The sequence below is a fragment of the Homo sapiens genome, chromosome 2 (assembly GCF_000001405.40).
Source record: "Homo sapiens chromosome 2, GRCh38.p14 Primary Assembly".
In the NCBI taxonomy this organism is placed as follows: domain Eukaryota; kingdom Metazoa; phylum Chordata; class Mammalia; order Primates; family Hominidae; genus Homo; species Homo sapiens.
Window position 1 is genome coordinate 71,389,561 of NC_000002.12, and position 27,965 is coordinate 71,417,525.

Sequence of the window (27,965 nt, forward strand, 5' to 3'; positions counted from 1 at the left end):
ACATAACAGCTGCTATGCTTCAGGGGAGGGGTTCCTATGCCAGTGTCCAACAACAATTAAGTTTTGTTCCCTAAGCCTATGCACAAGTGTCTTTGTGTGCTATGAGGGCTTGGGACTGAATTCCCGAATTCCGAAAGCGGAAGTTCAACAAGGATCTTTATAAATGTTCGACAAGGGCCTCAGGAGCCATTTTTTGAATTTATCAATCGGTTAACCCAGGCAATTAAGAGACAAATTAGTCATCCCCAGGCCGCTGATAATCTTATTGTTGCAGTTGGCTTATGAAAATGCTAACGTCGACTGCCAACAAGCAATGCAGGCAGTCAGAGGAAAGGCAGTTACGGCCAGGGAACTTACACGAGCACGTCAACTGGTGGGGACTGAAACACACAAAGCCAAAATATTGGCCATGGCAATAAAGTCTCCTGAAGTGAAAAGGGAGAAAACCCCAAATTGTTTTCTGTGTGGAGAGCCAGGTCATAAGAAGAGGCAGTGCCCCACTAGTAGAGACCAAGGTAACTCAGCAAAAGAACCCCCTTCTATATGCCCCCGACGTAGAAAGGGGAAACGTTGGGCAAATCAGTGCAAGTCCAAATTTGATAAAGATGCCAACCACCTAAGTAATCAGGTGGGAAACTTCATGAGGGGCCAGCCCCAGGCCCTGCTCCAAACTTGGGCAATGCCAGCGGCTTTCCTCGGTCAATTGGAAAGCCCACAGTCCACTCTCTCAGAACAGCCACCTCTGGGAGCGCAGGATTGGGCTTACTCTGCCCCAACGAATTAGTGCTAAAAGGAGAAGACCCTAAAAGGATTGCAACAGGGATCTGGGGCCCACTGCCTCCAGAACAGTGGGATTGGTCCTAGGATGATCAAGCCTATCCAGCAAAGGAATTAATGTGCTCACCAGGGTAATTGATAGTGATTATCAAGATTGAGGTATTAGTTATGATGGAGTGTAAAGGTCTGCATATTCTTCCCCCTAAATCTAAAATAGCTCAGTTACTATTCTTACCGTACTGGGTCCCCAATGCCCAGGGAAAGAGGAAGGGAAGTTTTGGAAGCACGGGAGCCGTAGGAGTGTATTGGAACCAGTTAATCACTGATCAGAGACCCATGATTACCTTAAAAATCGGAAATAAGAATTTTACTGGCTTATAGGATACAGGGGTGAATATTTCGATTATTAGTTATCAAAACTGGTCAGAAACTTGGCCTTGGGTCACTCAGAAACAAAAAATTGTCAGCACTGGCTAAGTGCACACAGCCAAGCAGAGCACACACCCCCTAACGTTGTGATTTGGAGGGAAAAAACAGTTAGCAACTCTAAACATGACTGTCCCTGTTAACCTTTGGGGACGGGACCGATTAGCCCAATGGGGGCTGCAAACCCCTTTCTAATAATGGCCACTGTTGTTATTCTTCCCCTACCCCTGACGTGGTTCTCTCAAGATCCAATTTGGGTAGCACAGTGGCCTTTAAAGGGAGGGAAATAACAGTGAGCCCATGAGTTAGTTCAGCAATTAAAAGCCAGCCATATAGAACCATCAAGCAGCCCTTAGAATTTGCCCATTTTCATCATTCCCAAAAGGTCTGGGAAATGGGGACTTGCATGACTTACGGGCTATCAGTGGCAGTTTGCAACCTATGGGGCCCCTTCAACGGGGCTCCCTTCCCCTGTGGCAATTCTTCAAGATAGGCCTATAGTCGATATTGACTTAAAAGACTGCTTTAATACTATTCCCCTTGCAGAACAGGGCAGAGAACAATTTACATTTACCATACTAGCTATCAGTAATGAAAGGGCAGCTTGCCAATTTCATTGGAAAGTACTTCCTCAAGGAATGCTGAACAGTCCTACCATGTGTCAGCATCATGTAAATCAGGCTTTGCTCCCCAGTAGAAAAAAATTTCCTAATTGCAAGATTATTCATTTTGTAGATGATATTTTACTAGCAGACCCAACAGAGCCAATACTTTTGAGTTTATATGCCTCTGTCGTTAAGATGTTAATCATAGCACCTGAAAAAGTACAGATGTCCTCACCTTGGAAATATCTTAGGTACATACTAACTTCCTGGTCAGTAAGACCTCAAAAGGTTAAATTAAATACTAGCAACTTACATACCTTAAATGATTATCAAAAATTACTGGGTGATATTAACTGGCATCCCCCCACCTTGGGCATAACTACTGATAAATTACAGAACCTGTTTTCTATCCTAAAAGGCAGTGCTGCCCTAGACTCACCCAGGTATTTAACCCCCGCAGCAAAAAGGGAAATTGAGGAAATAGACCAAGTTATTTCTCAGAGACAACTAGATAGCATAGATCCACGATATTCAGTTCAGTTGTTTGTTTTTCCTGCTAAACACTCCTCTACAGGATTAATAGGACAGATGGCCACAGGGCTGCGCTTCCTAGAATGTGTTTTTTGCTCACATACTGGGACTAAAACACTATTTGGCTATATCCAGCTAGTTAGTAAAGTCATCTATATGGGCTGCAGACGATGCAATCTGTGGCTGGGTTATGACCCTGAATGTCATAAGAATTTTCTTGAGTAGAAATTCGAAGTAGTCTTGCTCCATCTCTAGATTTTCAATTAGCACTCTTTGATTATGCAGGCCATATAAAATATGCCCTTCCTGCTGGCAGACTATTTCAGTTCTTATCTCATACTCCTCTAGTTTTGCCAACAAAAGTAGTTCACTCCCTCATACCTAAAGCTTTAACGCTTTTTACTGATGGCTCTGGTAAAAATGGAAAAGCGGCTATTTGGTGGAAACCACATAATTCCCTCACTCAATCTGGATTTACTACCGCTCAGGGAGCTGAGGTTGGAGCCCTAGTACTGGCCCTAGAAACCGAATCCGTTCAGCCCATTAACATTGTTAGTGACTCTGTTTGTTTGTTGCAAAACCTTGAGACCGCCCTCATTAAGTCCACTCTCGAGCCTACCCTGTGTACACCTTTTCTTGGACTTCAGCAATTGCTGGGTCAACATACACAGTTTTATCACACATATTCGAGCACACAGCTCACTGCCTTGCCCACTGGCTTATGGCAGTGATCAAGCAGACCTGCAGCTTATGACGTCACTGCTTGACCAAGCCACCCAGTCGCTTCAGTTTTTCCACCAAAATTAGAGAAACTTAACAATAGCAGCTTACCCAAAGACTGGGTAAACAAATTATCCTGCAGTGCCCAGATTGCCAGCTCACAGGCACATCTCTTCCTTGAACAGGTGTTAACCTTAGAGGACTAGAACCTTATCCATTATAGCAACAGATGTTACACACGTCCCTAAATTTGGAATACTAAGATATGTACATGTATCCATTGATACCAGTTCCTACCTAATTAGCGCACATGCTCTTCCTGGAGAGTCCACACGATACATCATTAAACATCTTTTAACTTTTGCGTTTATGGGGTGGCCCACAAAAATTAAAACTGATAATAATCTGGCCTGTGCCAGCTCACATATTCAACAATTTTGTCACACATGGAGCATCCAACATTCCACAGGCATCCCGTATAACTGACAGGCCATAGTAGAACGTGCCCACTCCACCCTTAAAAATATGCTCAGAAAACAAAAAGGGGAAAATGAGTAAGGACCCTGCAACACTACTAGCACAAGTGTTATTTACCCTTAATTTCTAAAATTTAAATGATAAATTTCAATCAACTATAGAAAAGCACCTTGCTAAAACCTCTCAAGACATAAAACCCGCAGTTTTATGGAAAGATGTAAATAGTAACGTATGGTGTAGTCCAAATGAATTGCTAACGTGGGGAAGATGATATGCTTGTGTTCACACCCCCCTCAGGCCCTCTTTGGATTCCAGTACGATGCATCAGACCATACCATGGCGTGGCTAGGACCCAACACAGTACCAGAAGTGAAGGAAATGATCCTGCAGGACCCGCAGCTCCAGACAACACAGCTTCCTCAGACGACACAAGCCCCGGACATTACCTGGGGGATGCTGAAGAAGACAACTTACAAGGCTGAGCAAATCCTGCTCCAGACACAGAAACCATTCACTCCAGATAATTTGTTCCTTGCTCTGCTCTCTGGTGTAAGTTACAACTCACGTAGGATCCTTTTTATGCTCTCGCTTCCCCTGCAACCCGTACCGGCTACACTCTATTGGGCTCATCTGTTAGATCCGCCTTTCTTACGCCCTGTTACCTGGGCAGGCACCCCCTTCCCAGCCTCTAATAACGTTAACTGCTTGGCTAGGAGGGATTGACTTATCCCAGTAGGGTCCGTTATTAATGGCACACATTGGACTAAGGTGCCAGGTAACACTACATATCACTCCATTATCTTCCCACTGTGTGTAAGGTTACTATGTACCTGCCGAAACACAATTATGGCTACAAATGGCAAAGGAATTGCCTTAACATTCTTGTGCCAGTAGCCTCAAACCGGGCAAGGCAATCAGTGCCACTTTCCCCAGCATTCTTCCCTGTGCTAAAGAACAAAGCCAGGAAAGTAATGGATTCCACTTTGGTTGGGAGGTCTGTCACGGGGGACAAGCCCTTAGTCTCCAGTTAGGCAATTTAACATCTTAGACTGGAGCCCCCACGGTCATTTACAGGGCGACCATACTGATGTTTGCATCCATTGTGGTGTCAATCTTAGTTTCATAGCCATGTCCGTTCCCCTGTGATTTGGGCCAAAGGGGGGATGGGATATCCCAGACCCCAAGTAGAGTCCTTGCCACCCCAAGACACTTAATGGCATCTGGGACATCTTAGCACCACCCTTAACACCTGGCATGGGACATAACATAATTCCAGTAACAATTATACTATGACCTTTATGCATAATCACACAGATCAGTGCCTGATTTGCACTACCCATCCATATGTTTTTCTTATGGGAACCAGTATTTCCATTACACCTCAAAACTCCATGTTTGTGACCTGAGTGCAAGGACAGGCTTGCTTCACCTCATGTATCATTAATTACAATATATCTAATTTAAATATTACTAGTATTATGGTATTAAGGAGACAATCTGAGGCATTCCTACCAGTCAGTTTGATACACGATTGGCAAGGTTCCTTTGCTCTTGCCACCTTAGAACATGCCCTGTCCCAGGTCAGACACCAAAGATTCATAGTTAATCTTACAGCCTTTATAGTCTCAGCCATAGTCATCCTAGCAACTGCTAGTTTTGCTGTAGCATCTATTACTGAATCAGTACAAATAGCTGCTTTTGTAGATAACTTGGCCAGAAATGTGTCTAATGAACTTCTCTTACAGCAGGGTACAAATCAAAAGGTTCTTGCACATCTGCAAGCCCTCGAGGCTGCCTTGGAACATGTAGGGGAGTGACAAGATGCGCTGGCATTCTGACAGCAATTAAACTGTGACTGGGAGCATAAGCATATCTGTGTCACCTCTCTACCATGGAACCAATCAATACATAGTTGGGATGAGGTGAAACAACACCTCGGGGTGACCTTACATGATAATTTAACAGCAGACGTAAAGCAACTTAAAACTAAAATTCTAGAATCCCTAAACGCCATAGATCTACATGTCCAACAAACAGTTATATGGAAGGATGTGCAAGAACATCTCTCCTGGATAGACCCTCACTCCTTGATTGGAAAAAAATATTACTAATTATACTCATGTTTGTCTTATGTTATTTACTAATTCTAGGATGCAAAGCCGGAATACGAGCAGTAATCGCTACGCCTGACAAACCTGCTGCTGTGCACATCTGTACTCTTCAATCAACAAAACCTGATGCAAAAAACAAAAGGGGGAGATGTAGGAGATCAGTCAGGGTGGTGGGAAAAGTTATAAGGAGAGACGCAAACCTTCTTGGAAGTCCAGGAGGTTTTGCAAAGCTTCGGGAGAGAATAAAGGCTGAAGGCAGCTAAATTCTCTTACCCTGACGCTAAGGGCAAGAAGTAGGTAACAAAGGAGTGTAAAGGAATTTATCTAGACGAGTTTTATTTACTTTTGCAGACCTTTGATCATCCTATTGCGCGCAGGACTGCTCCCAAGGCGGTGGGGGTGACAATTACCTACAGATTGTGTTGGCTCCAGGCCTTTGTCATTAAATCTGTACTGAATAAATACAAGCGGCTCCAGCTTATCAGGGCTGCATTCTCTCTTTGGTGTCTCTAAGGCCGAACAGTCCCCTAGCCGCACTCATGCAAAATACCTGTGTCTGTGTACTTTTTTCATCCGTCGCTCAGCCTGAGTCTGCAGGTCAGACTTGGCAGGATTTTGACTTGATATATTGTGTGTGTTTGGAAATGGGGAATAATTCCTATGCTTATGTACTGTTGATGGGAATATTAATTGGTTCAGCCTTTCTGAAGGTCAGTCTAATGTTACTTGTTAAAATTTAAATCTGTATGCCTTTTGATACATCAAGTCCATATCTAAGAATTTGCCCCCATAGTAATTCCATGGACATACAAAGATGAGTATAGGGCTGTTTCTTGCAGGGTTCTTTCGAAATTATTGCTAGGTTGACTTTTAACTAAATCCAAGTGATGTTATTTGTAATGTAGTACTTAAATGTTTTTCTTGTTGTTTTAGCCAAAACTGGACAAGCCAAGGCATCTGTAGCCAAAGTAAACAAATCTACAGGTATGTTTTTTTAATTAGGATTCTAGACTATTAGTTAAAACTTTAATGTATTTTAAAATCGTATGGCAGTAGTAGTCTTGGATTTCACATGACATAGTCTGTATTGAATGCATGCTAATCTTTGAGATTTATAATCATCTAGCAATTTTGAGAAATGATATGTACTAGATAATGCTTCTATAGTAATTATTGAAATAATTAACTGGAGAAATTTCTTATGATGAGTATCACATATTTTCCTCTTTCTCTTTTATTGAGGTCTCTCTTCTTCCTTACTTTTATATAATAGTTCAATAAATATGATCCTTTGTAGTTTTTGTGAGCTATAGTGGGATTTTAGGTAATTATTAAGTTTTTTCTCTTTTCCCTGGCATAATCCTTTCCAGTTTTTCTCCCAGTTCTGCTAAATCCTGATTAATTCAGGGTCATCTCTTTAAGTGGATAGAAATCAATGTATTAAATTATCTTTCAAGCCAGGCATGGTGGCTCACGCCTATAATCCCATCACTTTGGGAGACCGAAGAGGGTGGATCACCTGAAGTCAGGAGTTAAGTCCAGCTTGGCCAACGAGGTGAAATTCTGTCTCTACTGAAAATACAAAAAAACTAGCCAGGCACCAGTGATGCACGCCTGTAATCTCAGCTACTGGGAAGGCTGGGGCAGGAGAATCGCTTGAACCCGGGAGGTGGAAGTTGCAGTGAGCTGAGATCTTGCCACTGCACTCCAGCCTAGGGGACAGAGTGAGACTCTGTCTCAAATAAATAAACAAACAAATAATCTTTCATATAATGTTAAAAAGGAAAGGAAACAGCCTGGAACTGGCAAAAATCATTATTAGTGGCAGATCCAGAATTTTCATATAGTAGTTTCATAGAAGCAGTAATTTGAGTGGGTTATGGGTGGCTAGGAAACTTGTCTTGAAGCTGCATTTATTTTGCCAACACTTTGATGTTACTTTGATACCAAGTGTATGGGAGTCATTGGGGATGTGGTAGACTGGGATTAAGCTGATGGCCACCCCTTTACTTGCTGGAAATTAATGCCAGCTATTTTTTATTTTTTCCTTAAGTCCCAGTACCCAGATAGAAGTGATTTGTGATAATAACATAGGGATAGTGAAAGAAATATCTTAAGGGCTCACTGAGGCTCAGTTTACTGCAGTGTGGCAAAAGTCGTGAATGACAAGTTACGTGACAAGCTATAAGGATTTGTATTGCTCTTTTTGAGCAAAGATTATGGACTGTCTTGACTATAAAGGGTGGATTTGTAAACTTTCAGTTGATTTTTTTAGATGTCAATGAATGCTTTTTGTATGATTTTTAAAAGTATGATTGTATTCTCATAACGTTCCTGTTAGGTAATTTTGGCAATCACCACCCTTATGTATAGGGAAATGTGTACACAAATCTGTTCGTGCCCCAAAGCTTCTCAATAAAAATTGGAATTCAATTTAGATCTATTGATTTTTTATCTTGGGCTTTTTCCTCATCCATTCTCGCTAGTTGTTATGAATCCTAATTTCGAAGTTAAATCTTCTGTTGCTCTCTGAATGGTGGAAAGGGTTTGGGCTCTCTGATGATCTTCTGCAACACTTTCATGATCACATCTTTATAAACAGTATCATCTTGGAAAATAGGCCATAGTAATAGATAATGTAGGTACAAATAATGGTCAGAGCAATTTAAATAGTACTGTACAGCTAGGAAACTGTAGGAATGAGTCAAAACAATCTTTATATGACCTGACTATGATATAAGTATTCTTGAATGCTTTCTAATCAATTAGGAGCCGTGGAAGTGTGGGTTGGGAGGATCTAGGTTTAACTGCTTTTGGAACTGCTCAAAGTATGGGATTGTTTTTGTGTCCTTGGAATTAGTAATTTTGCTTCTAGTTGATCCACACATTCAGAAATTTATTTAACTTGCATGAATGCTATTTTAAGTACAGGTTGAGTATCCCTTATCCAAAATGGTTGGGAGCAGAAGTGTTTTAGATTTTGGATTTTTTTTCAGATTTTGGAATATTTGCATATATATAATGAAATATCTGGGGGATGGGAGCCAAGTCTAAACGTGAAATTCATTTATGTTTCATATACACCTTATATACATAGCCTGAAGGCAATTTTATACAGTGTTTTAAATAATTTTGTGCATGAAACAGTTTTTTTTAAGTACTTACATGGGAATTTCCCTCTTGTGGTGTCATGTCAGCAGCACTCGGGGTTTCAGGTTTTGGAACATTTCAGATTTTGGATTTTCAGTTTAGGGATGTTTGACCTATACCCCAGTAGGGAGGTAAATATCTTATTTCAGTGATTTCTTTTTTCTGAAGAAATTATCATCATTGCTAGATTTAGAAAATGGCCTATGTCCCCAAAGATGATAGCATTTTATGTTTTGAATAAAACACAGCCTATTATTCTTACATCTTTTTCTCTGTGAGGTTCTTTGGAGATTGTTGATACTAGTTAAGTAAACCAGTTTTGACTGCATCTTTTGTGATTTAGGGAAATCAGCAAGTTCTGTAAAATCTGTGGTAACGGTAGCTGTTAAAGGTAATAAAGCTTCAATCAAAACAGGTAAGACTATTGGGGAGGAGAGATTTTATTGTTTATTCTTTATTTATGTTTTAAATTCGTATAATAATTTTTAGCATCTAATACTTGAAGAGTTTAGTAGATATTTCCTTGATATTTAAAACCTGACCCATTTTGTTGGAATTTTATCTTTGGCAGATAGGCAGATATATTTTTGTGCATGTAAACAATCACATATATATAAAGCTATATAACTGTACATTTTTGACAGCTTTGTAATCACAGGTTGCTCTGTCGTTTCCCTCCATAAATGGTTTAATCTTTGTTTCCTTCGCTTTTTTTAGAGTTGTCAATTCATATTGCCCTCTCCAGTTTGTACAGTTTCTTAGATGCTTGTTACTTTTAAAAAGGATGTTAGGAGAATTCATTTTTTTTCATAAAGAAATGGAACACTATTTAAAATAAATTTAGCACCTTGCAACTAGAGCAATCTTTTTAGTAGTACCTTTCCTAACAGACTAATTCTAAAGAATCTTTGCAGAAATTACACAGTATTATTTTTGCGTGTGTGTGATTACAATGTTGGTCTGCCACATGAAGGTTAAACATGTGGCTCATTTGACGGCATCACCAAAAAGTTGTATCTTGATTTAAATTTGCTTTTAATCTTACTGGGAAAGAGGTACTGAAAATAAATAGAAATAATGACTATGTGGAAAAGAGCTGCTTTTGTAATAAAGTCAAACTAATTTACTAATACATTAGTGTGAAACATGCTAAATGATTTAACAAGACCTTTAGAATAATGGCTGACTGTACTTTTACAAGCAAAATCTGGTGGAAAGAAGTCTCTAGAAGCCAAAAAGACTGGGAATGTCAAAAACAAAGACTCTAACAAACCTGTGACTATACCAGGTAAGCTTGAAATGTGGTCATTCAGTGCTTTGTTTTCTTTTCTTTTTTTTAACTTTTTAAGTTCAGGGGTACATGTGCAGGTTTCTTACATAGGTAAACGTGTCATGGGGGTTTGTTGTACAGGTTATTTCATCACCCAGATATTAAGCCTAGGACCCATTAGTTATTTTTCCTGATCCTCTCCTTCGTCCCATCCTCCACCTTCCAATAGGCCCCAGTGTGTTGTTTCCCTCTATGGGTCCATTTATTTTCTTTAGATCATCTTTAAGGTATATTTTGAAATTTTGCCTAAAAATTATCAAAGTGGGGATTGCTGTCTTTTGTTTTTCAAAGAGAGATGTTTGGCTTATGTCAGGTCAGCCTAAGGAGACTTGAAATGTCAAACTAGCTTAAGTTCCTGTTTAGATTCATTAGTTTAATTATATTAGTGTTTTACTAGACTATTAAAGCAGACTATTTCATGCAGAAAACTCTGAAATAAAGACCAGTATTGAAGTCAAAGCCACTGAAAACTGTGCTAAAGAAGCTATTTCTGGTAGGTCAATAGAAATTTTATTTTGTTCTTTACTTATTTTAATTACCAATGCCATACCTAAGTGAAATTAAGAGTATTACGATTCATGTCTTTATCTCTTAATCTGAAATTTTGATCTCAGAATGAAATTTAAATGTATTTTTTAAAAGCCAATGTCACTTTTGTAGTCATTTTGTACTAATTCTCTAGACTTGTTGTATTACACGTTTTCATGTAGCTACTGTTTAACCTATTGTGGAATAAAGTAGGATCTTGATAAGTATGTCTGCATTGTTTTTAATTTTATTTTGTATTAAGATGCTGCTTTGGAGGCCACAGAGAATGAACCACTTAACAAGGTCAGTTTTCATGTTTTATTTATTTCTTTAAAGCTCAAGACATTTTAACAAAAGATATTTTTCTTATAAACCCAGGTAAAAAATTCATGGTATTTGGCATGTGAGAAATTCCAGTCATTTGTGACTTTTAAAACATGATTTTTAGAAAGGAAAAGAGAAAAAAATGTGATTTTAGCTCAAAAACCCTGAGGTGCAGAGTAAGTCACAAAAAGTAGGAACAGATCATCAACAAATGTACATGTTTTTTGAAGATTACTTTTCATTTGCCAAAATGGGTTTTGGGTAGACAGTAGTTGGTTAAATTAGAATCAGTAGAATTTTGTGAAGTCTATTTTTTTCTTAGAGGTAAATGGGAGATATGTTAATGGTTAGAATACCAGTTGTTTGCATTTATGGGGAAGCAAGTGGAGTTTGCAGTTTAAAGGACATGAAGTTCACTTAATATATTGTTTTCTTATGTTTATATCTATTATTATTAATACATTACAATCATTAATTTACATTTTACTGGTGCAGGTTTTTAGATCCTTCAGGTGTTGAGCATAAGTTTTTGTCTAGTAGATCCATTCTTCAAGTAGTAACTAAGTAGTAAGTCTTATTTTAGGAAGAGTATTTTATAGCACCAATTTAGTGTAAAGTCACACTAAACTGGTTTATGAAGATTGTAACTTCCTGCCTTTTTTTCCCCCTAGATATCAAAAATTGCCAAGTTGACTATAGCACATCATCTTTAGAAATTTTCCCAGTAAGCATGAAAGGAGTAATTGGCATTGATGAGAGAGTTACCTTGAAGAATAAAATGGATCTGAGAGAAGGGATGGCAGAAAACAAAAGTGCTTAATTGCATTGAGGATTGGGTTGTGGGGTAAAGATTCTCAGGAGCTTTTTTATTATGTATTGCCTAAGTGATTATCTTATTCAGGAAGATAAAAGGATACACACTGATTTGGAGCTTGGGGATATTATCACAAGGCACAGGGATGGCGACAGTATATGAAAGGAAGCAGTTGTAGCCAAAAACAAATGAACTTGTGTTTTAAAACAGTGGGTGACAGCTGCTTGGGTGGCTGAGACACAAGAATCACTTGAACCTGGGAGACAGAGCTTGCAGTGAGCCGAGGTTGTACCACTGCACTCCAGCCTGGGCAACAGAGCAAGACTAAAAAAAAAAAACAGTGGGTGAAAAAGAGTCCAGCAGACCTCGACTAGATGACAGATGGTATAACTACAATTAGTCTGTACTCTTGAAGAGTGTAAATTTGCAAGCTTTTTTGCTTTTCTTTTTAATTTGAGGTTCAGACCAGCCTCTTGAGTTTATCAGACTTTCCTCAGTATTAAATGCAACAATATACTAATATAACATGATACACAGTATAAACTTAAGTAAATATGAAACAAAGAAATTTTAATAACAGGTTTTAAAAATTTGTTTTGAAGGAAACAGAAGAAATGTGTGTGATGCTTGTCTCTAATTTGCCTAATAAAGGATATTCTGTAGAAGAAGTTTATGACTTAGCAAAACCATTTGGTGGTTTAAAGGATATCTTGATTTTATCATCTCATAAAAAGGTAAGAGTTGATTAATAGCTGTTCATATCCTCTGCAAGCATGCATGCTTTGAAAAACATTAAATTTACAAAACTAAAAAGAAAAGGTTTAAAAGCAGTATCTCAAAGTAAACTTTCAAGCTAAGGGATTTTAAAATATAAAACACAGATATCCTGTATTTTAGTATTGTTGTAACGAGACATAGTTTTAATGATGGGGACAAATGGCTTTCTAATATGTCAAAGTTCTACTCAAAATTTTAGTTTAATAGGAAACGTTTTATATCTTCAATATGTTTAATAAATATATCTTTTACTATGTTATGTTAATATGTTTAATAGTAGGAAATGTTTTATATCTTTAATATGTTTAATACATAAGTATATATATGAGAAAGAACTTACACCAGCAGCCTTTATCTATTTTGGCTTTTTAGGAAGCTATATTTATAAGATTCGTAGATCATTCTTCTACTTGTATTTCATACTCTTTCTGCTCTTATCAGTGATACTCAAATGGGAAGTAACCATTTTCAGACTCAGACTAATGATGTCATCAATACTTAAAACAATCTAGGTTTATCTTTATGTTCTAAATTTTCTATAAGCATCTGTTGGCTTTGTATTTTTAAAACAACACATTAAAATGTATGTTAATAATCAACTTGTAGAAAGTATGTTTAATTGAGCGAGATTTCAGGAAATAGTTTAAATCATGGAAATGACACCATTAGAATAGTGGGAAGAAGTGTTCTTACGTTAGAGAGGAGTTGGTAGTCACTAGAGATCTTTGAAAGTAGAATAGGATATATGTTTTGAGGCACTCCGAGCCAATTTGCTTTAGAAAATGGTAGAAGAGAGTGAGTACAGGTGAGTTATGTGTAATTTCACATTATGTTAAAAGTAGATTATTTGAATGATCGCAGAGCTCAGTAAATACACTAAAACCCATTGCATTGTGTACAGTGGTTGAACTTTAAACCTAAGTTATGTGCCCAGTTTTGAGTGGAGTTGAGTAAAATTATTAAAATATTTGGAGACTTAATGAAAATACTTTAAACATTTATGAAATTAAAATTAACATAAAATGAAAATTTAAAAACTAAGAGTATTTGTTTAAAAAAGGGAACAGGATTCACATCTACATTATGCTGTAACATTAAAACTACAATAAATAGATAAACAACCTTAAGAGATAATTCATTTCAAATAGGCTTACAACTGTAAGCAAACATACAGCTTTCTACCTCATTAACTATCAAATATATGGAAGAAGTTTCAACCTCTTTACTTACCAAGGTGTGAAAATTAAAAGCAAAATGTATGGAGCTACAGTTTTACACCTATGAAAATAACAAAATGAAAAATGACTTCACAATTGTTACACGTTTCTTTGGTTTTTTCATGTCTCATATTTCTCATATTTTATCAATTTATTTACTCAAGAAATACTAATATTGATTAGAAATATATCTGCTACATGCCAGATACTGCTCTATGTACTAAGGATACAGTTTGAATAAGATTTTTCTTAATGTCAGTGGCTAGAATGTCTCTTCTTTTTTCTCTCTTTAGTTTGCCTTAGTATAGTAAGTTTATTCATTCTTTATTTCTTGCTTATGGTTGTAATATTCTTAGTCTTTGGGCCTCAATTTTCTGAGGACTGCATTTTTTTATCTTTAAAATATTTACTAAGTTGTTCAATCCACTTGACGTTTGAAGTAGTTTGTTTATACTTGCAAGTCTGTTTTTGAGAAAAAGTAACATAAGATTTTTCTTGTTACCTTAATTTCTGTTTTAAAAGGCATATATAGAAATAAATAGAAAAGCTGCTGAGTCTATGGTAAAATTTTATACCTGCTTCCCAGTATTGATGGATGGAAATCAACTCTCAATAAGTATGGCTCCTGAAAACATGAATATAAAAGATGAGGTAAATCAGACCACCATTTTTACTAGCTCTTACTAAGTTTTTAAATCAGATTTGTTACAGTCTGTTATGTTTTCTAGTTTTCCACTTTGGTTCACATTTTTCTCACAGACACTGAGAAAGCTTCTTCCTGTCCCTCCAACAATCACCCAGTCACCCATCCCACTGTTTGAGAGTTACTTTCATAGTGAGGGAATCCTATTCTTCATGTATGTTGGGATGGAAAAAAGGTTGCATTTTGTCTAAAGACAGGTTTCTCTCTTATCTTTCTGCCATTATCTGTCATCTAAACTAGAATTCTGGAAGTTATCTTTAATTTTTTTTCTCTCATTTCTTAAATTTAGTTCCTTGTAAATCTTGTTTAACTCAGTGAGCTTGTTCCCTCTTCCTCATCCCATATACCATTGCTTTATCTCTTAAAAACTCTTACTGGTCCAGGTATGGTGGCTCACGCTGGTGATCCCAGCACTTTGAGAGGCTGAGGTGGGAGGACTGTGTGAGCCCAGGACTTCAGGACCCAAGACCAGCCTGGGCAACAAAGTGAGACCCCATGCCTACAAAACTTAAAATAATTAGCTGGGCCTGAAGGCGCACACCCGTGGTCCCAGCTCCTCAGGATGCTGAGGTAGGAGGATCCCTTGAGCCTAGGAGTTTGAGGCTGCACTGAGCTGTGATTTTACCACTGAACTTCAGCCTGGGTGACAGAGGGAGACCTAGTCTCTAAAACAAACAGACCTCCTCCTGGACCTTTTGTATATACAAAAGTAATTGTCTTTTGTACATACACGCTACCTTCAGTTTTATAAAACTCCTTTGAGTTCTCAGCTTTTATCTCATGTACACACCCTTCAGTGCCTCTATGTGACCTATAAACATTTACTGTCAACTGCTAAGAAGCATGAGGTAGAAATATTGTATGCATCACATGAGGTAGAAATATTATATCCTTTCTAGAGGCAGGTAGAAATGCATGTAATGTAAAAATACCTTTCATTAAGAATCACTCTAATGTGATGTAATTGGCAAGATTGTTTTATACACACCAGTAGTATCAACAAGAAAAAAAAAGTTTAGGATCCTCAGTCTTATAAAGTCCAAGTTCCTTTGCCGCACACAAAGCCTTCCATTAGTTGTCCTCTGCCTGCTTTGATATCCTTGTTCCCTGATGTTCTTGGCCTCTTCATAATTCAGTAGCATCAAATCTGCATTTATGCTCTGTGCTGTTTTATTTGCCTGCATTTCTGTTCTTTCTCATCTCCTACTTTGCTTAGTTAACTTTTCTTTTGTAATTTGAATTCTCTTCCTGTTGTCTAAATTAAATCTCTATTCCTTCTGTGAATTTGAATGTCTTTTCTAAATGGTACTATCTTATTAGTCTTTTATATTCTTAGGGGAATAAGAAGAATTAAATTGTATGGGTTAGAATGAGGCTTGTTTAGGAGAGAAAGATTTTTGGAAAGAATGTAAATCTTGCTGCTTCTTAATTTTATAAAATACTTTGTAATGCATATTTGTATAGATTGTCATGTTATAAATCTTAACTAAGTAAGTATTTGTATGAGAAAGAGCTTATACCATCAACCTTTATCTATTTTTGCTTTTTAGGAAGCTATATTTATAACCTTGGTAAAAGAAAATGACCCAGAGGTAAGTTTTGCATTTAAATGCTTTTGTATACTTATTTAATTGATGGAAACATTGTTTTACTTGTTTGCCTTTTAGGAATTAAAACCTTAGAACTAATTTTAAGATATTGAGGTGATGGAGATGTCAGATGGGTCTTCTTGGTAACAATAAAAAAATAAAGGTTTCTTGTAGTACTTGATGCGAAAAAATTTTTCAGGTACTGGAGTGCATATTAAGTGGTCTAATAGGTCAATATCTTGTCTGAGGATGTTTTGGGTAAACGTTATGTTGATAGTAGAAATATTATACTTCCCATTTTAGTACGTCATTTTACTGATTACTCGTACGTAAAATTAAGACCTCACTGTCTTCCCCCATGTAGTCATTTTCTTACTCTTGGGAGAGAACATCATCTGACCTCTGTAATAGTAAGTTAATGTTAATCTGTTTTACCGTTTGTTGCTTCAGCTGTGGTTTTTTCTGTGCTGTCTCTTAAAAAACTACAGGCAAACATAGATACAATTTATGATCGATTTGTACATCTTGATAATTTACCGGAAGATGGACTTCAGTGTGTACTTTGTGTTGGACTTCAGTTTGGAAAAGTGGATCACCATGTATTCATAAGTAATAGAAACAAGGTAACAAGTTCCCTCATAATTTAGCTATTCATTCTGTAAAGAATGTATAATAACCCTGTATTCTGACAATCTGCAACTTCTGATCTGAAGCACCTGTAAATATTACTCAACCACTTCGCAGAATTATTATAAACCAGAATATTTTATTTTGGACTGGGCCGAGAAAGAAGAGATGACCTCTCTTTTTTCAGAACTCCTAGTTTTTAAGGAAAAATAAGACTTACGCAAGGGGGAAAGGTAATATAGTGTAGACAGCATTATCTTACTGGGAAGTTTAGACCTGAGTTCCTTTGGCTCTGATTTTAACTATCTTTGTGGTCTTGGCTAAGTTGGTTTACACTTACTTGTAAAATGAAAGGGGTATTACCCAATATTTCTTTAAGTCCCTTCCAGCTATGAAACACCTGAGTTAGGTCTATTTGTTTGTTTATATGGAAAGAGAGAGATAAAATAATTGCTGGATGCAGTGGCTCACCCCTGTAATCCCAGCACTTTGGGAGGCTGAGGCGAGGGGATTGCTTGAGCCCAGGAGTTTGAGACCAGCCTGGGCAACATAGTGGGATGTCGTCTCTACAAAAAGTTTAAAAATTAGCTGGGCATGGTGACGTGTGCCTCTGGTCCCAGCTGCCTGGGAGGCTGAGGCAGGAGGATGGTTTGAGCCCAGGAGTTGGAGGCTGTAGTGAGCTGTGTTCACGCCACCACACTCCAGCCTGGGTAACATAGCGAGACCCTGTCTCAAAAATAAAGTAATCATTCCTTACTTTCATGATTTGGCCTCTTAACCAAAAATTATTCATTTATTTACATTTGGTATGCCTTCTGTATTTAATATGTATTTCAGCTACATGTTCATTAAAATTAAATTTTTATCAGCCATATATTACCTAGAAAGGCAGGGTTTTACATAAAAGTGGACAATATTCATAAAAAGCACTTAATTAACCAACAACTAGATAATTTCTTTGATATGCTTCTGATAAATAGAGCATAGAATGGAATATGATAAATAGTGTGACATAGAATGGAAGGTGGGGCACAGATGGCACATAGGAATTCTGAACCTTTCTTGTAAACATTTTTAATCCTCTATTTAAAAGAATACCTATCATTCTCTTCAGTTTTGCCTTGGCTTTACAACATTTTAAGGATTGTTTTCTCTTGTTTCCTTTAAATAAGGATTAACCTTACCTTTGTAGTCATATATCTGAAACCTGAAAGAAGAATATATTCCAAACTTTTAAAACAATTAAAAACATTTTTATTGTAGTAAAATACACAAATTTTACCGTTTGTAAGACATAAATTTAACATTTTAATCATGTTTAAGTGTTTGTTCACTGATATTCAGCACCTTCACATTGTGCAACCATCACCACCATCCATTTGTGAACTTTTGTCTCCTCAAACTGAAGTTTTCTATCCTTTTGACAATAACTCGCCATTAATTCAGCCCTTATCAACCATTATTTCTGTTTTTATAAATTTAGTTACCTCATGTATGTGGAATTATATTTGCTTTTTTGTGACTGGCTCATGTCACTTAGTATAATGTCTCTAAGGTTCATCCATGTTGCAGCATGTGTCAGATTTTTCTTCATTTTTAAAGCTGAGTAATAATTCTGTTTTACGCATGTAACACATTTTTATATCCACTCATCCATTGATGGACAGTTGGGTTGCTTCTCCCTTTGTCTGTTGTGAATAATGCTTCTGTGAACATGGGTGTACAAATACATGTTTAAGTATCGGCTTTCATTCCTTTTAGGTGTATACTAAAAAGTGGAATTGTTGGATTATGTGGTTATTCTAATTCCAATTTTTTTAAAGAACTATTCATAACTTTTTAATCTTCTCCAAAGGCAATTCTTCAGTTAGATAGTCCTGAATCTGCTCAGTCAATGTATAGCTTTCTGAAACAAAATCCACAAAATATTGGTGACCATATGTTGACCTGCTCATTATCTCCAAAGATAGACTTACCAGAGGTAAGATTTATCTTTCTTCAGCTTTTGTGATTTTAGAAAATACAGAGAACATAAAGGTCATTCTCAGGTAGTAGTCAAACTGTTTCTGTGTTTAGAGATGATTTTTATAATTTGTGTTGCAATCAGTGTTCCAATTTTCATAGTTTATAAAGCAGTATAAATTTGTCTAAATGAGAATAAAGAAATTTTCAACAATGTAACATATATGCATTTTTGAATACTTACTGTTGACATGTAGGTATCTACATTTTTGTGTATAGTGACTCTTTGTATGTAACATGATTGTCTCCAGAATGCAGCTACTTTGAATCCATTTTGGCTTCCTCTGGGTAGAAAGAAGTTTGTTTTATTCTTCTTTTTGTTTCAGTTACATTTATTATAAACTGTTTTTGTGTTAAGAAATAAGATTTCACAGGTTCTTGGCCTACACAGTAGTACATGTAGGAAAGCTATGGATAGTCCACCTTTGAAAGCATTAAATTCAAACTCAATCTATTTTCTCCTTCTATTCCATTGTATGCTGATATCAGAGGTAAGTAATAGGACCTTATATGTGGTGTCCTTGTGTTGTCAATCTGTTAAAAATCTTGCACTATCTAAAGAAAAAGGCAATTTCATCATCTAAATCTAAATTAGAGTATCTTTAAGTAAATGTATTATGATAGGTACCAGTTTAAGCACAAATGAGTGGCTCATTTCACTTGATAATTTCAGAAAAAAATATATAAAAGTTTTTAGCTATTCCTCAGCAGAACATGCATTTTTAAAAAGTTGTCATTTATATTTTTCAAGCTGTTATTCAGTTGTGTTCAACTAAATTCAAAATTAAACACTGACTGTACAGAAATCCTTATCCCAGAAATATAGTCCCAAATTCTTAGAGTTAAAAGAAAATTAAAGAAGTGAAAATTTACATAAACTTCTGCCTGAATTGGTACTTCACTTCCTAAGTGCTTACCCAGAACCTTATTCGTATAGTTTAAGTTGGATAACACATATGGCTTATTTGTAACAGTTTTTAATTGACTACTATTTAAAATGAGTTAATAATCAACTCTATATTATCTTCTCTTCAACACTTACTGTTTTTGTTAGACTGAAATGTTACTTCTTTGTGTAGTATGTGTGACCTTTATTTCAATATCTATAGTTAGCTTGTATACAAAGCATGTAGCACTCCATTCTAAATACTGAAAACTAGTAGCTGCATTTTTGGTATCATGATTATGAAGATATTTACTGCAGAATTAAGTAATAATGAGAATGGGTTTATAAAGAAGGCAATATGTGTGTCCATAACCTCTACACTCACAGGTGAGTTTCTTATATTCCCAGTCATTTCTCAAAATGGCGCCACATTTTCATTTTCATAAGTAGGTAGATTATGGTTTTCTTGTATGGTTTAGGGTTTGTATCTTGTTGAAAGGGGGAAAAATGACAGTCTTCATGTTACTGTGATCATCTGTGTAACTTAATTACTATTTGTTGAATGGAGTCTCCTTTCAGAGCTATTCTTGTGACTCTTTTCTAAATTTAGGGTCATTTGCTTTGTCGACCAATTATATACACCTTTGGTTTTCTTTCATTGTTTTTCTGAGTCATGTCTGTTTTTTCTTGGATTCTGTCACGTCACAGGTGGTTTTTCTGTTTGCTAGAGTACATTCTCAAGTATTTTTTTTACCCCAGAAAGTATGTGGAGGCAGTACATTTTCTGAAATTCTGCATGTTTGAAACTGACTTTATTTTGCTCTTACGTATTTCATTGATTGATTGTCTAGATGTAAAATTCTGTGCTTAGGCTATTTTTCCTTTGATTGTTTTTAGCATCCAGAATCCAGTATTATTGAGGAGAAGTCTGATTTAGATCAAAACTATTTTGTTCCTCTGAAAGGTTTTAGGATTTATATTATTAATTCTTTAAACTAGTTTGTTTTTCTGTTTGTTTGTTTTAAAGACGAAGTCTTAACTCTGTCACCTGGGCTGGAGTGCCATGGTTCAATCATGGCCCACATGATTTAAACCTTAACTCCTGGGCTTAAGCGATCCTCTCACTTCAGCCTCCAGAGTAGACTATAGGGGCATGCCACCATGCCCGGCTAACTTTATTTTATTTGATTTTTGATTTTTTTTTTGTGTGTGTGTGTGTGTAGATGGGGTCTCATTGTGTTGCCCAGGCTGGTCTCAAACTTCTGGCCTGAAGTGCTCCTCCACCCTGGGCCTTCCAAAGTGTTGGAGTTACAGGTGTGAACCACTGTGCTTGGCCCTAAACTAATATTTATCTAATTCCTTTTCTCTATGCTAACACTATTTTAGGTATTAGAATACCATGATGAACATTGTTTCAATGTCCTAGTTCTCAAGGATTATATTTTAGTGGAGGAGATAGACTATAAACAGATATAAAAGTGGTAAAAAGACTGTGAATAAATAAATTGAGATAAAAAGAGAATGATTAATGTGGGGAATGTGTATCTTAAAGTGGTCAGTGATAGTCCCTCAGCAGAAGAGTTATTTGAGAGACCTGATGGAAGAGAGCAAGCTCTAAGAAAATTTCAAGGGGAGATTTTTAGGCAGAAGAACCAGATCAAAGGCTTTAGGGACATACTTGGTGATTCCAGAATTTCTAAAGAGAGGGTTGGTATTGCTAGTCCAGTGAGTAAGGTTTTTTCTTGGTTTGGGACTCATTTCCTGCATCCTGCTTTTAGAGCAGGAAGTTTTTCTCCCCACCCACCACCTCCCCCCCCCTTTTTTTTTTTTTTTTTTTTGTCGAGATGGAGCCTGGCTCTGTTGTCCAGGCTGGAGTGCAGTGGCGTGACCTCGGCTCACTGCAGCCTCCACCTGCCGAGTTCAAGCAATTCTCCTGCCTCAGCCTTCCGAGTAGCTGGGACTACAGGCACGCCCTACCATGCCCACTAATTTTTTTTGTATTTTTAGTAGAAATGGGGTTTCACCATGCTGGTCAGGCTGGTCTCGAACTCCTGACCTCATGATCTGCCTGCCTCAGCCTTCCAAAGTGCTGGGATTACAGGGATTAGCCACCATGCCTGGCCCCAGGGAAGTTTTTCTATTATTATTTTTTGATTTATTTCCTTCAATTTTTAATATTCTGTTTTTCTGGAAATAATACCAGCACTGATTTCATAGATGCTGTATTCTCTTGAATTTTTCTGAGGATGTTCTTTTGAGTTTTTTATTTTTTTTATTTATTTTTTATTTTTTATTTTTAATTTTTTTTTTTTTATTATACTCTAAGTTTTAGGGTACATGTGCACATTGTGCAGGTTAGTTACATATGTATACATGTGCCATGCTGGTGCGCTGCACCCACTAACGTGTCATCTAGCATTAGGTATATCTCCCAATGCTATCCCTCCCCCCTCCCCTGACCCCACCACAGTCCCCAGAGTGTGATATTCCCCTTCCTGTGTCCATGTGATCTCATTGTTCAATTCCCACCTATGAGTGAGAATATGCGGTGTTTGGTTTTTTGTTCTTGCGATAGTTTACTGAGAATGATGGTTTCCAATTTCATCCATGTCCCTACAAAGGACATGAACTCATCATTTTTTATGGCTGCATAGTATTCCATGGTGTATATGTGCCACATTTTCTTAATCCAGTCTATCATTGTTGGACATTTGGGTTGGTTCCAAGTCTTTGCTATTGTGAATAGTGCCGCAATAAACATACGTGTGCATGTGTCTTTATAGCAGCATGATTTATAGTCCTTTGGGTATATACCCAGTAATGGGATGGCTGGGTCAAATGTTATTTCTAGTTCTAGATCCCTGAGGAATCACCACACTGACTTCCACAATGGTTGAACTAGTTTACAGTCCCACCAACAGTGTAAAAGTGTTCCTATTTCTCCACATCCTCTCCAGCACCGGTTGTTTCCTGACTTTTTAATGATTGCCATTCTAACTGGTGTGAGATGATATCTCATAGTGGTTTTGATTTGCATTTCTCTGATGGCCAGTGATGATGAGCATTTCTTCATGTGTCTTTTGGCTGCATAAATGTCTTCTTTTGAGAAGTGTCTGTTCATGTCCTTCGCCCACTTTTTGATGGGGTTGTTTGTTTTTTTCTTGTAAATTTGTTTGAGTTCATTGTAGATTCTGGATATTAGCCCTTTGTCAGATGAGTAGGTTGCGAAAATTTTCTCCCATGTTGTAGGTTGCCTGTTCACTCTGATGGTAGTTTCTTTTGCTGTGCAGAAGCTCTTTAGTTTAATTAGATCCCATTTGTCAATTTTGGCTTTTGTTGCCATTGCTTTTGGTGTTTTGGACATGAAGTCCTTGCCCACGCCTATGTCCTGAATGGTAATGCCTAGGTTTTCTTCTAGGGTTTTTATGGTTTTAGGTCTAACGTTTAAATCTTTAATCCATTTTGAATTGATTTTTGTATAAGGTGTAAGGAAGGGATCCAGTTTCAGCTTTCTACATATGGCTAGCCAGTTTTCCCAGCACCATTTATTAAATAGGGAATCCTTTCCCCATTGCTTGTTTTTCTCAGGTTTGTCAAAGATCAGATAGTTGTAGATATGCGGCATTATTTCTGAGGGCTCTGTTCTGTTCCATTGATCTATATCTCTGTTTTGGTACCAATACCATGCTGTTTTGGTTACTGTAGCCTTGTAGTATAGTTTGAAGTCAGGTAGTGTGATGCCTCCAGCTTTGTTCTTTTGGCTTAGGATTGCCTTGGCGATGCGGGCTCTTTTTTGGTTCCATATGAACTTTAAAGTAGTTTTTTCCAATTCTGTGAAGAAAGTCATTGGTAGCTTGATGGGGATGGCATTGAATCTGTAAATTACCTTGGGCAGTATGGCCATTTTCACGATATTGATTCTTCCTACCCATGAGCATGGAATGTTCTTCCATTTGTTTGTGTCCTCTTTTATTTCCTTGAGCAGTGGTTTGTAGTTCTCCTTGAAGAGGTCCTTCACATCCCTTGTAAGTTGGATTCCTAGGTATTTTATTCTGTTTGAAGCAATTGTGAATGGGAGTTCACTCATGATTTGGCTCTCTGTTTGTCTGTTGTTGGTGTATAAGAATGCTTGTGATTTTTGTACATTGATTTTGTATCCTGAGACTTTGCTGAAGTTGCTTATCAGCTTAAGGAGATTTTGGGCTGAGACGATGGGGTTTTCTAGATAAACAATCATGTCGTCTGCAAACAGGGACAATTTGACTTCCTCTTTTCCTAATTGAATACCCTTTATTTCCTTCTCCTGCCTGATTGCCCTGGCCAGAACTTCCAACACTATGTTGAATAGGAGCGGTGAGAGAGGGCATCCCTGTCTTGTGCCAGTTTTCAAAGGGAATGCTTCCAGTTTTTGCCCATTCAGTATGATATTGGCTGTGGGTTTGTCATAGATAGCTCTTATTATTTTGAAATACGTCCCATCAATACCTAATTTATTGAGAGTTTTTAGCATGAAGGGTTGTTGAATTTTGTCAAAGGCTTTTTCTGCATCTATTGAGATAATCATGTGGTTTTTGTCTTTGGCTCTGTTTATATGCTGGATTACATTTATTGATTTGAGTATATTGAACCAGCCTTGCATCCCAGGGATGAAGCCCACTTGATCATGGTGGATAAGCTTTTTGATGTGCTGCTGGATTCGGTTTGCCAGTATTTTATTGAGGATTTTTGCATCAATGTTCATCAAGGATATTGGTCTAAAATTCTCTTTTTTGGTTGTGTCTCTGCCCGGCTTTGGTATCAGAATGATGCTGGCCTCATAAAATGAGTTAGGGAGGATTCCCTCTTTTTCTGTTGATTGGAATAGTTTCAGAAGGAATGGTACCAGTTCCTCCTTGTACCTCTGGTAGAATTCGGCTGTGAATCCATCTGGTCCTGGACTCTTTGTTTGGTAAACTATTGATTATTGCCACAATTTCAGAGCCTGTTATTGGTCTATTCAGAGATTCAACTTCTTCCTGGTTTAGTCTTGGGAGAGTGTATGTGTCCAGGAATGTATCCATTTCTTCTAGATTTTCTAGTTTATTTGCGTAGAGGTGTTTGTAGTATTCTCTGATGGTAGTTTGTATTTCTGTGGGATCGGTGGTGATATCCCCTTTATCATTTTTTATTGTGTCTATTTGATTCTTCTCTCTTTTTTTCTTTATTAGTCTTGCTAGCGGTCTATCAATTTTGTTGATCCTTTCAAAAAACCAGCTCCTGGATTCATTGATTTTTTGAAGGGTTTTTTGTGTCTCTATTTCCTTCAGTTCTGCTCTGATTTTAGTTATTTCTTGCCTTCTGCCAGCTTTTGAATGTGTTTGCTCTTGCTTTTCTAGTTCTTTTAATTGTGATGTTAGGGTGTCAATTTTGGATCTTTCCTGCTTTCTCTTGTAGGCGTTTAGTGCTATAAATTTCCCTCTACACACTGCTTTGAATGCGTCCCAGAGATTCTGGTATGTGGTGTCTTTGTTCTCGTTGGTTTCAAAGAACATCTTTATTTGTGCCTTCATTTCGTTATGTACCCAGTAGTCATTCAGGAGCAGGTTGTTCAGTTTCCATGTAGTTGAGCGGTTTTGAGTGAGATTCTTAATCCTGAGTTCTAGTTTGATTGCACTGTGGTCTGAGAGATAGTTTGTTATAATTTCTGTTCTTTTACATTTGCTGAGGAGAGCTTTACTTCCAACTATGTGGTCAATTTTGGAATAGGTGTGCTGTGGTGCTGAAAAAAATGTATATTCTGTTGATTTGGGGTGGAGAGTTCTGTAGATGTCTATTAGGTCTGCTTGGTGCAGAGCTGAGTTCAATTCCTGGGTGTCCTTGTTGACTTTCTGTCTCGTTGATCTGTCTAATGTTGACAGTGGGGTGTTAAAGTCTCCCATTATTAATGTGTGGGAGTCTAAGTCTCTTTGTAGGTCACTGAGGACTTGCTTTATGAATCTGGGTGCTCCTGTATTGGGTGCATAAATATTTAGGATAGTTAGCTCCTCTTGTTGAATTGATCCCTTTACCATTATGTAATGGCCTTCTTTGTCTCTTTTGATCTTTGTTGGTTTAAAGTCTGTTTTATCAGAGACTAGGATTGCAACCCCTGCCTTTTTTTGTTTTCCATTGGCTTGGTAGATCTTCCTCCATCCTTTTATTTTGAGCCTATGTGTGTCTCTGCACGTGAGATGGGTTTCCTGAATACAGCACACTGATGGGTCTTGACTCTTTATCCAACTTGCCAGTCTGTGTCTTTTAATTGCAGAATTTAGTCCATTTATATTTAAAGTTAATATTGTTATGTGTGAATTTGATCCTGTCATTATGATGTTAGCTGGTGATTTTGCTCATTAGTTGATGCAGTTTCTTCCTAGTCTCGATGGTCTTTACATTTTGGCATGATTTTGCAGCGGCTGGTACCGGTTGTTCCTTTCCATGTTTAGCGCTTCCTTCAGGAGCTCTTTTAGGGCAGGCCTGGTGGTGACAAAATCTCTCAGCATTTGCTTGTCTATAAAGTATTTTATTTCTCCTTCACTTATGAAGCTTAGTTTGGCTGGATATGAAATTCTGGGTTGAAAATTCTTTTCTTTAAGAATGTTGAATATTGGCCCCCACTCTCTTCTGGCTTGTAGGGTTTCTGCCGAGAGATCCGCTGTTAGTCTGATGGGCTTTCCTTTGAGGGTAACCCGACCTTTCTCTCTGGCTGCCCTTAACATTTTTTCCTTCATTTCAACTTTGGTGAATCTGACAATTATGTGTCTTGGAGTTGCTCTTCTCGAGGAGTATCTTTGTGGCGTTCTCTGTATTTCCTGAATCTGAACGTTGGCCTGCCTTGCTAGATTGGGGAAGTTCTCCTGGATAATATCCTGCAGAGTGTTTTCCAACTTGGTTCCATTCTCCACATCACTTTCAGGTACACCAATCAGACGTAGATTTGGTCTTTTCACATAGTCCCATATTTCTTGGAGGCTTTGCTCATTTCTTTTTATTCTTTTTTCTCTAAACTTCCCTTCTTGCTTCATTTCATTCATTTCATCTTCCATCGCTGATACCCTTTCTTCCAGTTGATCGCATCGGCTCCTGAGGCTTCTGCATTCTTCACGTAGTTCTCGAGCCTTGGTTTTCAGCTCCATCAGCTCCTTTAAGCACTTCTCTGTATTGGTTATTCTAGTTATACATTCTTCTAAATTTTTTTCAAAGTTTTCAACTTCTTTGCCTTTGGTTTGAATGTCCTCCCGTAGCTCAGAGTAATTTGATCGTCTGAAGCCTTCTTCTCTCAGCTCGTCAAAATCATTCTCCATCCAGCTTTGTTCCGTTGCTGGTGAGGAACTGCGTTCCTTTGGAGGAGGAGAGGCGCTCTGCGTTTTAGAGTTTCCAGTTTTTCTGTTCTGTTTTTTCCCCATCTTTGTGGTTTTATCTACTTTTGGTCTTTGATGATGGTGATGTACAGATGGGTTTTCGGTGTAGATGTCCTTTCTGCTTGTTAGTTTTCCTTCTAACAGACAGGACCCTCAGCTGCAGGTCTGTTGGAATACCCTGCCGTGTGAGGTGTCAGTGTGCCCCTGCTGGGGGGTGCCTCCCAGTTAGGCTGCTCGGGGGTCAGGGGTCAGGGACCCACTTGAGGAGGCAGTCTGCCCGTTCTCAGATCTCCAGCTGCGTGCTGGGAGAACCACTGCTCTCTTCAAAGCTGTCAGACAGGGACACTTAAGTCTGCAGAGGTTACTGTGTCTTTTTGTTTGTCTGTGCCCTGCCCCCAGAGGTGGAGCCTACAGAGGCAGGCAGGCCTCCTTGAGTTGTGGTGGGCTCCACCCAGTTCGAGCTTCCCGGCTGCTTTGTTTACCTAAGCAAGCCTGGGCAATGGCGGGCGCCCCTCCCCCAGCCTCGTTGCCGCCTTGCAGTTTGATCTCAGAGTGCTGTGCTAGCAATCAGCGAGATTCCGTGGGCATAGGACCCTCTGAGCCAGGTGTGGGATATAGTCTCGTGGTGTGCCGTTTCTTAAGCTGGTCTGAAAAGCGCAATATTCGGGTGGGAGTGACCCGATTTTCCAGGTGCGTCCGTCACCCCTTTCTTTGACTCGGAAAGGGAACTCCCTGACCCCTTGCGCTTCCCAGGTGAGGCAATGCCTCGCCCTGCTTCGGCTCGCGCACGGTGCGCGCACACACTGACCTGCGCCCACTGTCTGGCACTCCCTAGTGAGATGAACCCGGTACCTCAGATGGAAATGCAGAAATCACCCGTCTTCTGCGTCGCTCACGCTGGGAGCTGTAGACCGGAGCTGTTCCTATTCGGCCATCTTGGCTCCTCCCTGAGTTTTTTAAAAGGCACTTCAG

The 27,965-nt window shown here is 38.1% G+C and overlaps 1 protein-coding gene across 4 annotated transcripts in view, besides 2 other annotated features; it reads left to right on the forward strand.

Annotated features, from left to right (window-relative positions):
- ZNF638 (zinc finger protein 638) overlaps positions 1–27,965 on the forward strand; it is a 103,280-nt gene that overhangs the window by 57,779 nt on the left and 17,536 nt on the right. For all 4 annotated transcript variants that reach the window (NM_014497.5, NM_001252613.2, NM_001252612.2 and 1 more), the window contains exons 11-20: positions 6,581–6,631; positions 9,141–9,212; positions 9,999–10,085; positions 10,552–10,620; positions 10,918–10,958; positions 12,396–12,527; positions 14,310–14,438; positions 16,041–16,082; positions 16,568–16,702; positions 18,562–18,687. In NM_014497.5, coding sequence (NP_055312.2) covers positions 6,581–6,631; positions 9,141–9,212; positions 9,999–10,085; positions 10,552–10,620; positions 10,918–10,958; positions 12,396–12,527; positions 14,310–14,438; positions 16,041–16,082; positions 16,568–16,702; positions 18,562–18,687 — 884 coding nt within the window. The remainder of the gene's footprint in view (positions 1–6,580; positions 6,632–9,140; positions 9,213–9,998; positions 10,086–10,551; positions 10,621–10,917; positions 10,959–12,395; positions 12,528–14,309; positions 14,439–16,040; positions 16,083–16,567; positions 16,703–18,561; positions 18,688–27,965) is intronic.
- Positions 27,053–27,682: an enhancer, noted in NCBI's record as "NANOG-H3K27ac-H3K4me1 hESC enhancer chr2:71643743-71644372 (GRCh37/hg19 assembly coordinates)". NCBI's record gives its function as "activates a minimal SCP1, AML or CMV promoter by ChIP-STARR-seq in primed H9 embryonic stem cells {active_cell/tissue: H9 hESC(primed)}" and the evidence as "EXISTENCE:reporter gene assay evidence [ECO:0000049][PMID:30033119]".
- Positions 27,285–27,334: a silencer, noted in NCBI's record as "silent region_11624". NCBI's record gives its function as "represses an Ori minimal core promoter by ATAC-STARR-seq in GM12878 lymphoblastoid cells {active_cell/tissue: GM12878}" and the evidence as "EXISTENCE:reporter gene assay evidence [ECO:0000049][PMID:35858748]".